At 37.2% G+C, this 14,347-nt stretch overlaps 1 long non-coding RNA gene across 1 annotated transcript in view, besides 1 other annotated feature; it reads right to left on the bottom strand.

Annotated features, from left to right (window-relative positions):
- Positions 1 to 14,347, bottom strand: part of LOC101927314 (uncharacterized) — a 403,332-nt gene that overhangs the window by 32,772 nt on the left and 356,213 nt on the right. The window lies entirely within an intron of this gene.
- Positions 7,079 to 7,937: an enhancer, noted in NCBI's record as "VISTA enhancer hs282". NCBI's record gives its function as "enhancer in: hindbrain (rhombencephalon)[6/8] | midbrain (mesencephalon)[6/8]" and the evidence as "EXISTENCE:transgenic organism evidence [ECO:0001131][PMID:17130149]".

Here is a 14,347-nt window from a genome sequence, read left to right as displayed (position 1 = left end):
TATGAGTGAATAAGTATAATTCTCTGGATTTGAACTGACAAACTTAAGTGCCAAATCCAGTTTAATTATTTATTTGGTCACAGCCAAAATTATATAAAACTGCTGTCATACCTCTTCAGATGACAACAAATCTCTTTCTTAATTTCCCGTGTATGAGACTGGATATATTGGTTTGTAAATTTGTTTTATTTTATTTTATTTTATTTTATTTTATCAAGAGTTGAGTCTATTGCCCTACAGATGCAGCCTATATCTCACCTTTCCTACGAATATTTTTTGTCTAAAAAAGTGGCTTAAAGTAAGCATTTATAAATACCTTGACTCATGAGAGTAAAAATTTATTTGAGGTTTATAAATAAAACTATTGAAGTGAACTAACCAAGTTTCAAAATTAAAATTTCTTAACAATGTAAAATTTGAATTTCAGAATTTATCATAAGAAGGCAAAAACTTGAGAAAATAATATAATTTCTTAAGGATAATATATATTGGAATTCATAGTTTCTGGTGGAACAGGAATTTCCTTTAGGCTCCAGGCCTACCCCAGGCTCCAGATCAGCCTAACACCAGGTCATAGGCCCAGCCTCAAGGCCAGTACCCACAGAACCAGAATCCAGCCCCATCATAGCATCAGGTCAGCACCTGTCTACCCCAGCTTCAGGTCAGCATCTGGCCCAGCCACCAGCCTGGCCACCAAGGGCCTATACTCCAGCAAATCTAGGATCCAGGCCTATTCCAGCAGACCCAGAGTTAAAACTCATCCCAGTAGACCCAAGTGCTGGGCTGGCCTTTGCAAACACAGACTCCAGACCTACCCAATGGCAAGTCAGCACCTGTGGACTAAGGCTCCAAGACTACCCTTGTGGCCCAAGCACCAAGCTGGCCCACATGGACTCAGTCAACAGCTCTTTGCCAGTAGATTCAATGATGCACTAGCCCCATGGGCCCAGGATTCAAGCCTGCTCTAGCAGACCTAAGCTCTAATCCCATTACAGCAGACTCAGGTTCCAGGCCCAATCCCACACACCCAGGTACCAGACCCACTCGCCTGCTGATCCAGGGATTAGATTAGCCTGCCTGAGGATTATGACAGTAAGTATGCCTCCAGACCGTGCCAGACAGCCTGCCTAGAATCTCTTGCTGGCCTGACGTGTGAAGGGCTTTCCCTACTGAAGCCAGTTTGCAAAGACTGGAATAAGTGCATACTTCTTCCAGTACTCACACACAAATGCATGGCCACAAAAATCACAAACAATCAGGGAATCATGACATCATCAAAGTATCAAAATAAAGCACCAGTATCTGACCCTAAAAAATAGAGACTTTTTGCCTGACAAAGAATTCAAAATAATCCTCTTAAAGAAGCTCAGTGAGCTATGAGAGAATACAGATAGACAATAAACAAAATCAGGAAAACAACACACAATCAAAAGGAAAATTTCAACAGAAACCATAAAAGGAAAGTAGAACAGGAAGTCCCAAGTCCAGAATACCTCCTAATTTTTATTAATTGTTAAATTTAGAGCCTGTATTTCTAAAATAAGTGTTAAATTTTACAATTTTTTTTTTTTGAGATGAAATTTCACTCTTGTCACCTGGGCTGGAGTGCAATGGCACCATCTCGGCTCACTGCAACCTCCACCTCCCAGGTTCAGGCCATTCTCCTGCCTCAGCCTCCCAAGTAGCTGGGATTACAGGTGCCTGCCACCATGGCAAAGTTATATTGCAGATAGGATTTTTAATTTTTTTTGAGATGGAGTTTCGCTCTTGTTGCCCAGCCTGGAGTACAGTGGCACAATCTTGGCTCACTGCAACCTTCATCTCTGGGGTTCAAGTGATTCTCCTGCCTTAGCCTCCCTAACTAGCTGGGATTACAGGCACGTGCCACCATGCCTGGCCAATCTTTGGTATTTTTAGTAGAGATGGGGTTTCATATAGGATTATTATTTTATGCAAGATTTACAATCTCTAAAATTTCCTGAAACTGCTGAAAAAGCAGAATACAAAGTCATTTTAAATACATATAAATTGGTTGCAAAGCTAACTGAAGACTGACCAAAAACTCTGAGGATAATAAACATTTCGTTCATTAGAAAACCCATTCCTTTTAGAAAAATATATATCATATTTTCTGTACTTTTGTTTTTTCCTCTAATCAATCATTATAAATCTCCATAAAATTTTTGATTATCTAATATTCATTTATTACCATTTCACATTTCTTTGACATCATAATTCCATGCTTATTGGAGAAGGCATGAAAACCTACCCATGGATATTTTTCTCATGGAGAAAGAGAAATGTCTGAAACACTAGGAACCAGAAGTGTGAGGGGCTCTAATTATCTATGACTTTTTTTTTTTTAATTACATGTAATAGTCTTGTAATGGAATAGTGTTTCTTTCCAAAATCCCAGAGTCAAAAATAATATGATTTTTTTAACTGTTAAAGATTATATGATACTTTTCTCACAAATGTAAAATTATGAGTACCACAGCTAAATATACACCTAAAAATAATTATGTGATACAAACACATATTGTACATAGATGTTGCTACCATGAAATCTAAGAATGCCACTTTCCCTTCTGTAGCTATGTTTTGAATTACCTTCAGATTATTTATTTACCAAAAAAAAGAACAAAAATAAAGCTTTCCTGCAAAAAACTAATAACATGCAAGAAATCTGTGTGGCTCAGAAAACACTAGTTTATAAGCATCAACTTTATATGGTTTAGGTCATCAAGACAATCAATCGTTCATGTTTATTGAACATCTATTATGAGCAAATAACTGTTTCAACTGAGACTTTGGAGAATCTTGACCAAATCAATAATTCAACTGTGAAAAACAAGCCTAGAGGTGCACTGATTCTTCCTAGTTTTCTATACCCTAGATTTACATTCATGCTATTAAATTGGCCTCTGGCATTATGAGATTTAATTAATCTATTAATTCCAAAATCACAATGAGATTTGTTTCTTATAGAGATAATGGCCAGGAGTGCATCCACAGTGTTTCATTCATTATATGAATGGACCCTCTCACATGCCATAGTTAAACGAACAGGTGCCCTGATCATCTGGAGACAAGATAAACTTGCAGTTGTTGCCTTCTGTCAATTGCTATAGCCATTCCAGGTTTAAGAGTGTCACGGTCCCCATCTCTCTGTAAACCATGATTCTTACTACACTTACTTCCTTGATTCCTCTCAGGTAAACCACAAACGTTTTATCAACTGCAGAGTAGCGTTTAGCCTAGCTTGATTAATTTGCACACAGCTGATACCAATTCTCCTAAGATCACTCATGTGGTTTGATTCAATTAATCACACTGTTCACCAAGCTCTAAAAAGAAAAACAAGACTGTTTATTTGCATGTTGTGAACCAAAAACTCAAAATATGAGAACAGCATTAATTGGTCATTCCCATATTTTCTATAGTTGGCCCTATAGCAGAATACCCCTATAATATGCATTTATCCCTTTGTATTGGATATGGCTTATAATTAATGAAGTATAAATAGCAGTTCCTTGACCACGGTCCAGACTCATGGGACTCCTACACATCTGTCCAGGGAAAGCCAGAAGAAAGTAGAGATGCAGAGTATTATCCAAGGAGATTCTCTGCAGGGTCCACCGTAGCAGCTGTGGTCTTAACAAGATGAACTCTTTGTTCCTGATTGTCACTGCTTACAGCTGCCCATCATAGAGAGTATGGTGCTGTACAGAATATCTATTGCAATGGAGAGAGGGGGAGGCTTATTTTCTCCTTGGTTTTAGCCTACATATTATTAGTTTAACTGATCTGTTTTACTTAAGGGGACAAGTAAATTTTTACATAAGATGTTTCTGTGGTTCAGTCACATTGTCTATCCCCAACACATCCCTTATCTTTATGTCAGGTTCACAACTACACCAAATGTCATGCTCAGGGTCAGGTCCAGGCCCATGCTGAGGTCCGAGGGGAGTGGGTGGATGGGCAGATAGCTGAAACAACACTCGGGTGGGGGTGGGTGTAGGCAGGTGAAATGTACTTTCATTCAGCAGCTCTTTCATTAGCAGCTTTCTCACACTAGTCCTCTCACACTGTGAGAGGAGGCAGAGGTTGCAGTGAGCCAAGATGGTGCCACTGCACTCCATCCTGGCTGACAGAGTGAGACTCTGTCTCAAAAAAAAAAAAAAAAGTAAATTCTTGAACACATTCCAGACCTTTGAATCACAAACTCTGAATGGGATCCAAAAATATCTTTCACCTAATATTTCTAGCTGATTCCAAGTGTTTGCTCAATTATGGTTTGTATAGAACCATTATATAAAGGAATATCCAAAGCCTTACTGGAAACTGAAGAAGCTTAGTAGCAAGGTCTAATTTTCAACTACAGTTTGAGTTCTTTGCAGACCATTGAAATAATTACAGTTGCTTTTGCTCAACCTCACAGGAGTCTCATGAAGACTGGATAAGTATGGATGTGTCATGATTAAAGCAAAACATGTGAGGTATGATGGCCTGAGTTGAAGGACTGTTATGCCCTATTACTTACATATTCCTGAGAATATGTATTTCACATCTCTTAGCCTTACCTTCCTCTCCTGTGAAATGAAGTTAATAATACTTAGCTCATAGCGTCATTGGGAAGACTGAGGAGGTTATGAATTTAATGACATCTACAGTAGTACTTAGCATTTAGTATGCATCAATAAGTGTTTGGTGCTGATGCCTTTACGGCTAAAATTTTCACTCTGACCTCTCTAACAGAGATGTCATCTCCATTTCAAAAAGCAAGTTAAAGGCCAAGGGCCAAGGATTGAGAAAAGATCCTTGAGAAAGGACTGCATTTATTGTGAATGGAAAGAAATGGTTCATAACTCCTCCTTTTCTCCTTATTTCAAGAAACTCCTGAAATCTTATCTTGTCCATAAAACCTTCCCATTTCTTGCTTCTCTCTACATCGTACACTTCTATGATGATTCTAACTGTTCCCTCTACTCTCTTCACTGACCCATTGGCATAGAATGTTATTTGCATGCAATTGTTAATTTAGTTTATACACTTAGCTAGTGGCTGTCTTCTAGTCTTTGTGCCTTGTGTGTAAAACTTTGTTAATTCTATATGTCTTAGAGAAAAAAGCTCCCTGGTAGCCTAGGCTTGCTTTTCTTGCCTCTCCATTTGCATAATGTTGTATAGCACCATGTAAATACAGATACTTGATTAATGGTTTCTGACAGATGCTATCAAATAAAATATCAGTACTGCAAAATTATAAATGTATATAGTTCTTCTAACCATAATTTTGATCCTTTTTTTCTAAATCCACATAATTTCACTTTGTCTTGAGCTATACTCCTTGGTGCACTGTAATTTGAATAAAACATACACCTGAAAGATCTACTTAAGAGGAAAAAGACATAAAAACTAAATTGAGAAGCTAAATCAGGCTATTAAAAATAATCAATATTCCCCCATGGGATATCTTCTCTCTCCCTTGCTTCCTCCCTCCCTCGTGTGTGTGTGTGTGTGTGTGTGTGTGTGTCTGTGTCTCACAATGCTTCCATAATGCAACATCCTAGAAAGAGGTGATTGTCAGGATAATAATCTTTATATCACCTATCACCTAACATGTTTATTATCACTTACCTTTATTTAAATACGCAATAGTGAAATGAGTTCATCTGCACCCATCCCTTTTAGTGCAGATTTTTGGTTTGCCCTTAGTATAGCCAAGAAAGAAGATCCCAGCTGGTAACTTTCTCAAAAAGAAAAGAAGAAATGATTTGTAATGGACTGAGCTCAGGGTAAAATGTCAGGTGATCCTGATTTTTTGGGTTACAAAAATCCTTCAAACTTTAAGCTGCTACTAGCCTTGTAGAGATTCTGAACCACTGGAGATGTTAAGTAGAGATTCAGCAGAACTGAAGTATCTTCATGGATTTTATCACTTTGTTGTATAACTGAAACTATAGTTACCATCAGTCACTGTTATTTTATTTCGTGTGTGGTGTGTGTGTGTGTGTGTGTGAGAGAGAGAGAGAGAGAGAGAGAGAAAGAGAGAGAGAGAAAGAGAGATACATTTTGGTCATTTTATTTAAAAATAGTTCACCTTCAGAAATAGAAATATGGGATCTATTGATAAACAATGGTACCACTACGACTCTTAAAATTCAAGAAAACAATTAATTACACAAGAAGAGCTACCCTAAAGTTCTCTCCAGAGAGGTCCCAAAGTCAAGATAAAAAGTCTGTTGTTGGGGACATTTTCAGCATAACCTTCTCCTGGGCAGAAAAATGAGTCACTGCCCATATTTCTCAGTTAATATTTTCTTGCCTTATTTTAATGTAGGAAAATACAGAAACGATCTACAGCTGTAAGAATGTGAAATATTCGGGCATCATTCGGGGTTCTCATATGACAAGATTTATCAATCTTTAAAATGCTCAAAAGGCTGTGAGAACAAAAACTGTCAAACACAATCACACAACGGGGCTCCACAGCACCAGAAGAAATTAAGTGAGGATTTCACCAAGTAAGCTGCTCCTTCACACACTCACAGCAGCCAAGAAGAAACAGCAAGCGCTGCGGAGTTGGAAAAAACCTTGCCTCACATGTGGAATAGAACGACACCTACATAGAAAAATAGCGAGCTGGTGCAGTTATCGGCACTGACATTTCAGCTCAACTCCCTCCCTCCCTCTCTCTCTCTTTCCTCCTCAGTCCCACGGGCAGCTGCGGCATTGACAGAAGGCCTGTGTCAGTTTCCATCTGACTGTCACTCTCACTTCTGCCTCTATTATCAGCAGTGCACTGGGGCAGTCCCCGCTTGGAAGGGCTGCTGATCTCTATCTCTCCACTCTACGCTGCCCCTGCCATGAACCTGACTAAGAAGGAGCCAGCCAGAGAGAGCAGGGGGGAAAGGCTGTGCTCTGGGAAAGGGAACTGGGGGAGGGAGGAGGCGGGCGGTTGGGAGGGAAGAGGATGAGAAAAGAAAAGAGAGAAAAACCAACCAAAAAAGGTTAGGGAGGGTAGGGGTGGGCCAGAGGGTGGGGGCGGTAGCGAAGAGGAACAGACCGAGATGAGTGGGGGGCACTGATACAGTTTGGGTCCTTTTCTTATTTTTCCTATCCATTCTCCAGCGTTCAGTCTTTTGTGTCAGCTTTCAGAAATGCTCTGTTTGACTGGCAGCCTGTCACAGATCAGTTACCACCTAAAGCCGCTTGGCAGCGAGAGGTGACGGCCCAGGAAGGGATCTAAGTGGGTTTATCAGTGCTTCTTTACGCCTCGTGAGCTCCTTGACACAAAAGGAAAGGGTATTAAAGATCTAAAGCGAGCCCAAAAGCGTGAAAGCTCCTTATAGGCTGCAGGATGTGGATGTGACTAAATTTTTAAATATTTTGAGTTGATGCTATTCATTTTGCCAATAGAGTAGAAAGAATTTTTGTTACAGAAATGAGTGTATGTTCCACTTGAGTGAGATTTGGAAAAGGGAGGAAGTCCCTAAAATATGTGCTTAGAATATTACAACCGCCCTGTATTTAAAATCATGCATCTGTTTTGAATATAAATAAAATGAGACGCATTTTAAATAAAAATTTAACATTTACATGATTCAAGTTCATTTTAACATTACAGATTTCACTTTTTATGTTTAAACATTATAATTTAATATTCGGCATTTAATTTTTTTGGTGGAAATGGTAAATATGGAAAAGATCCAGAATTCATTAGTTCTCTGCCATATCTTCTCTCTTGGTCCTTTATGCATGGATTATTATTAAAGTAGTGTATTTTTAGCATGCCAATAGCTTCTCTCAACACATTCCTACAATGATAATGGTCCTACTACAGATATCCAAGGCACAGAGCCGTCCCCTTTTTTACCTAATGATAATATTTACTACTATTTTGTTATCTATCTTAAAAGGCCAAGGCTTCCATGGAATATCATTTGAGACGTATGATAATGAATTATCAATGATAACCTACTTTCTGATATCCAGACCGGACAGATTTAATTTAGAAAATGAGTACACCAAACATACTTCTGATCCCACAAACCACATATGATCATGGCAGCCAGTTTCTCATCACAAGCTATTAACTCTGGCATCAGGAGGCCCTGCATCCTGAATGCCTGCTAAAGGATTCTGGATTTGATTTTTTGTTATAATGAAAATCATGAGAAAATAAGTGATTTTTAATAATGTGTTAAAATAGGAAGTTTTCTAATTTCTTGATTTTACATAGAAAAGGCACCCCTTTTTAGTCCCTTTATTGTTTGTTTGCCAACCTGGTTTCTTTCCCCCTTTTTTTAGACTCCATGAATATTACCAAACCTCTCTCAGAGAAATTCCTGCTTGGCTGAAATTCTCTATTTCTTGACATCAATTTATAGACTAATAGATGTGTGAGGATAATCAAATTCAGCTCTATCATTTTATATATAAATACGTGTTTAAACAGTTTCCTACCTATACAGTGCCCTACATAATCTTACTGAGTCCATATTATTATTATTTAAAAATAAATAAAATAAGATTATCTAAGGAACAAAGAAGTCAAGCAAAAAAAGCACATGGGCAAAGGGATTTTGGGGTCAGAAAGACTTAGTCTTCTAGTTACTAACTGCATGGCCTTAGGTAAGTTAACCCTGACATTAACTATTCTAAACTTGGTTCTCTAATCTATAATGGGGAAAAAAATCTACCTTATAGTGTTGCTATGAGAATTAATGAGATAACACACTAAAATTTGGGGTACAATGAATAGCACATGGTAAGCATTCAATAAATAATTGCTATATTATTTCTAATTATTAGTCCAACCAGGCATCAGGTTGTGCACAGGTGTTATCACTTAAAACAAAGACGCCTGCTTTGTTTAAATTTGGGGTTAAATAGTTCAACTTGGAAACCCTGGTTAGCATTGTGAAAACAATTGTCTGTCAATTGCTTCCATACTGTTATTTATTGTTCTAAATTATCAAGACTTCTACAATAAGTAGAAGCTCTTCATTTTTCATTGAAACTAAGAGTCAAAAAGAAAGAGAAGATCCAGTAGAAGCAGGCTTTTCAGGTATGTTTACCATGAAGCATTCAGAATTTCAGTATGACTTTTACCTCAGTTTCAGAAGCTATAGAATTAAGTTAATTGTGTTACTTTTTATTGTAAACAGGCTATAGTCCCACAAAAACTATTTTCATACTGGCCAACATCAATCAGATCAGTGAGGACACCACATAGGATAGTTAGGAAGATGTAGGAGATGATGTAGGGGGTAAGGAGCAAATTTAAAAAAAAAAAAGAAAAGAAAATTAAAATTTTAAATTATCAGTCAAGGTCTCATTGTCTAACCTCATCTTCAACCAAATTTATCTCATGACTGGTATCTTCTATTAATGGCAATTAATTACATAAAACAGAAAGGAGAAGATCATTGACTGCAGTCTCAATGGCAATTTTTCAAATCCATGACCAGGGAAGAAGGAGGAGCTGAAAGAATGGTAAAGCTTGTTCAATCCCCATATGTGCCCATTAACTTCACAAAAAGAAAACTGCTCCTAGACACAGCCCCAACCGCCGCTGGTCATCTCACAAATGTGCCACTGGTCATGTACAAAAGAATGTGGATGGCTCTTGTCACAACTTCTAAAAATCATGGTGGGAATAGTGACTATGTCTACTTACTGAACAATGCTCAAGTAACCAGTCAAAGGCTTTAAAGATTTTCTTTCTTTGTTTCTTTCTGTTTCTTTTTTGTTTGTTTTATCTCAAACTAATTTGCATTTGTGGAAGGGTAGCATTTTCTGAAGGAGAAAATGCATGTTTTCTTTGCTTCATGATTGGGGGAGCAAGTAAAAAAATGACAATGATTAAAAAAGTGAGATGTTGCACTGAATCAACAATTTGAAAACATAATTTAGAGCCACTAAAATATGCCTACTAGAAAATATTAAAACATCTTTTCAAATACAAGGTCCTTATATCCTCAGAAATTATTTTATATACATAATTTTATACATATATAATTTGATATAGATTGTTCTACAGAAGATAGAAACAATATAGAGAATAAATAAATTTTGATTCAATATATTAAATATACAGATTTTTGGTAGCTCTATATCTCAGTATCCTCAGGTCATTTAATGGAAAACTAGAAATATGCTAGTAAGAGATGGTAAAAAATAAATTATGGTTGATGATATGAAGACATGAGAGGCCTGTTTTAGTAAAAGGCTCCATGTATACCAATCCTCTTCCTAATCCATTAGGACTGTACCAGCATGTTAGCACTCACAGAGCATCATCTTTTCAGCCCAGAACATTGCCATTAATTTATGATTCTATAGCTAGCAGAAACAACCTGGTTGCAAACTTACATGCTCTGGGCATCAAATAAACTAATTAAACCGATCTATACAGTAATTGTCTTCTACTGTTTACTGATTAAAAAGCCCTTGAAATAATGAGAATTCCTTGCAGTAGGAAGGCTTGGACCCATGAGCTATGATGATTATCGGCGGTCTCAGAACTCCTCCTTGAGGACATGAGGTTAAGAGGCGGTGAGGAGGAAGAAAATGCCTGGCCCGCCTCTCAACAGTCACCTTTCTGTCTGGGTCTCTGACTCTGAGACAAGTGTAACTCATCTCAGAGTTTAGAACTCAGATTCTTCATGGTCAATACTTCTTAACCAACATTGCAAGCAAGCTCAGGAGATTCTTTAGATAAATGACTTACACAAGGGCAAAAGCTATAAGGGAAAGATTAGTATAAATATAACTCTATACGAATAGTAGGACATTCTTACTCAATTTGTCCATAATTTATACTTTTTTTCTAAAAATAAAAATCATTTGCTTCTAGATAAAAGAATTTATGATTCTGGCAACAACATGGTGAGGAATATATGCATTACTAGTTAGACAAAAAACAATTTCCAAAGATTTTTAGAATTGTATGGAAGTCTCAACCACCAACATTTGGGGATGGTTTTCTTACATTTTATAAAGAAATGCAAAAGCTGAGATAACATTCTGAACATTTCTCACAACCCTCAGAATCCTGGAACATTGAATAACCTAGGCAATGTTTATGATCACTTTCTGTGCTTAGCCCTTTGCACTCAAAAATACAATATGGTTTACAATTATGTTAGAAAATTTTGTTTTAAGATTCCACAATAATCCAGATCAAGATATATTTTCTGGAGATTCTCAGTAGCACCTGTCAATTATTTCGCTACTGCTTTCACCTTTAAAAACAAAAAGGAAAAGCAGAAGAAAGACGTTTATAATAAATTACTTTAAAAAATGGAGATGAGTGCATTACAGAAATGTCCTTAAGACACCTAATTTCTATTTTTATGTGTGCCTAAAACTTAAGAGCTACTAAACTATTCTCGTGTATATTGTTTTAAAATTTATATAAATAGCTCTCAGGTTGAAAATGCTTGCTAACTTTCTGCATGAACTGAACTATCACTAGGAAATCTTCTCAAAAAGAGTGCACAATGAAAACTCAAATGCAGCTGTTAGCTGCAATTACCTATTGTGGTAAGAGTCATGTCCAACCTCTTGTAAGGTGCTAATGTTCATTTAAAGCCAGAAAGACAGACCCTATTTTTTACTAAAATAGAGGCCCTCGAATCATTAATAACTGCTGTCAACAAGATGACAAAGCAGCTTTTTAAAGTTTGATTTACAGTGTTAGTTCTGTGTTCATATCCCTCATTAGCTCTGATTCATAACTAGACAAGACAGGGCCAATATTACTGCTCTAAAGTGAAATATTATCACAACTTGATTTTTTTTTTTTTTTGCTTTAAATGGATGTGTTTTGTTGGGGTGCCCAAATATAAATTGTCTTGCCTTTGGGACATTTATTTAAATTTTTAGAAAGTAAGTTCTGGTGAATAAAAATAAATAATTATTACAATTTAAAATTCTCCTAGAATTAATTTCTTCCTCCCTTCAATGTTTGGTGACAAGTTAAATCTCATAGTTTTTCTATTTGATGGGCCAATCCACATGTTTTATTTAAAAAAACATAAAACCTGTGCATTATATACTGCCTGATTTGCCTCACAGCATTAATTTGAACACTTAAAGAAGATAAAGCATATGAAAATACCTTATATTATAAATTATACATAAATATACTTAAAAGTACTGTTTTACTGTTATTTTCCAAGTCAAACACAGTCTACACACAGAATATATTTCTTGATTCTACTCCCTATTGCCTTTAGGTGTTTACACATCAATGCTGATGTACCAAGTTCATCTTCCTTTACCCAGCATGGGAGGCTCAAGATCTGGAGAATTCTGGATACTTCAGTTGAGACTTTGAAAAATTAACTTTATCCTGCATAGCATCAGCAATAAGAATCACTAGAAAGCCTGTCTTAAATGTCTAACATTGTAGTTACTTACCTCCTTGGACTAATGTAAAATGTTCTGGAGCCTCCTGCTCTGCTAGATAGAATGGACCAAGGCTGTCACCTTGGAAAGCAAAGGGCAGAGCTCTGAAAATATGACACATAGAAAGGCATTAGAGGGACCTGAGAAAATACCTAAAGCATAGCAAGCTACTTCTGGAGTTGATCCTGGACAGGCAAGGAGAAGTGTAGGTCACAGGAAGCCTAGGAAGCAAACAGGTCCACTGTGTGAAGCACAGCTGGCTGGATACAGTGGGCATTTTGTGCTCTGCATAAGAGCATTCTGTTAAGAGGGCACAGTAGCAGTGAAGGCCAGCCCACATCTTCTCACAGAGATGTGCTCCCTGAAGCTGCCAGTGTGCCCCCATGGGGTCACACTTTTTTCTTGATATTTTCCTGAGTTTGTATGCCTAGGATGGTGCTCTTGCACAGAGGGGTAACCTTTTATATTCTTCCAGCTAGAGAGAGAGAGAGATAAAACATTTTATTTTAATTTGCACACAGGTACAGCATAAACTGCTGGGAGCTCTGGGCTGAAGAATGCCACAGAGAAAATCATGGTAGATTGTTACTTCCAAAGGAAAGACCAAGTGGAAAGAATTTCCTTAAAGTGGATCCTCCTCCTTTAGAGAATTTATGAATTAGCTATGAGGCAAATTTGTGAAAAGCTAAGGATTTCCCAGAACTCTGGAGTTAAAATGGTTCTGTGTCTGAAAATATTTCTAAGTGAAATGATACAATTCTACTTTAAATGTACGGGAAAGACCCCAGATATCACAAGCTGTGGGTATGGTAAGAATAAAGAGCATGTTAGAGCTTCCCAGAGAGAGAGGTAAGAAATCTTTTTTTTTTAATGTGTTTCTCCTACACTATCTGTAAGTTCTATGATGGCAGGTAGTATTAGTGTTGGCCCCTAAAAACCTTTGAACTAGCCGTGCTCAGCACTTGCACAGTGCTTACTATTATCCAGGTAGTGTCCTAAGCACTTTATATGTAATACATAATTTAATACAATAATCCTATAAAGTAAGTACTATTTTGATTCCTAATTTCTGAATAAGGAACTTAATCAACTTGATCGTAAATCATGCATGTAGGGCTGAGATTTGAACCCAAGCAATCTAGCTTAGCCTCAGAGTCTGCCCTCTTAACCACTTCTATAGTATCCTAAATAAATATTTTTATGAATAAATACATGAATTGCATAATGTGGCCAATTCAGAGAACTGTTACGCAGTCTTAATTATATTGGATTTCACATTATTTTTGGTCTCTGGGAAAATTTTAGTTTAGCACCCGAGACTTCAGAAATTGTGCTGCCTGAGTTGCAGTACCTTAAAATGCAGACAATGAGAAAGTTATAGTAAAATGTCTCCAAGTGTTACAATGAGAAAATATAAGTAGACACAGGAGCACACACTTAAAATGTCTAATCTAGTCTGGGCGGATGGGGATACCAGGAAAACTTTCAGAGGAAAGGAATAGCACAACTGAAATGGGATCTAAAGGTAGATCAAGACAAAAAGGAAGGAAGGGTGTTCTTGGCAGAGATAATTCCATGTATGACAAGCAAGTGGATAAAAAATAGGGGAGTGTACCTGAGGAACAGAAAAATAAATTGTTCAGTATATTTTTACCCTAGAATGTGTGAGAGAGAAGGGAAAAGATGAAGCTTACAAAGAATGGGGAACAGATCTCAGAAGGCCTGGGAAACCTTAACGAATTTAGACTTTGGGAATAGCAAGTCAGTGATGGATTATATGCAGGCAGATCAAAGAAGCAATATGAAAAGACTTGAGTTTGATTACTGTGGCTGATGTGTGGAGAGCAGATTGGAGGGTGGCAAGGCTGTGGTCTGGGAGTCAGTTTAAAAGGCTGTTCAAGCAATTTAGGAAAGAAGATAAGTTTCACAC

The sequence above is a fragment of the Homo sapiens genome, chromosome 6 (genome assembly GCF_000001405.40).
Source record: "Homo sapiens chromosome 6, GRCh38.p14 Primary Assembly".
NCBI lineage: Eukaryota > Metazoa > Chordata > Mammalia > Primates > Hominidae > Homo > Homo sapiens.
The sequence above is the reverse complement of the archived record's forward strand: the minus strand, read 5'-3'. Positions and strand labels throughout refer to the sequence as shown.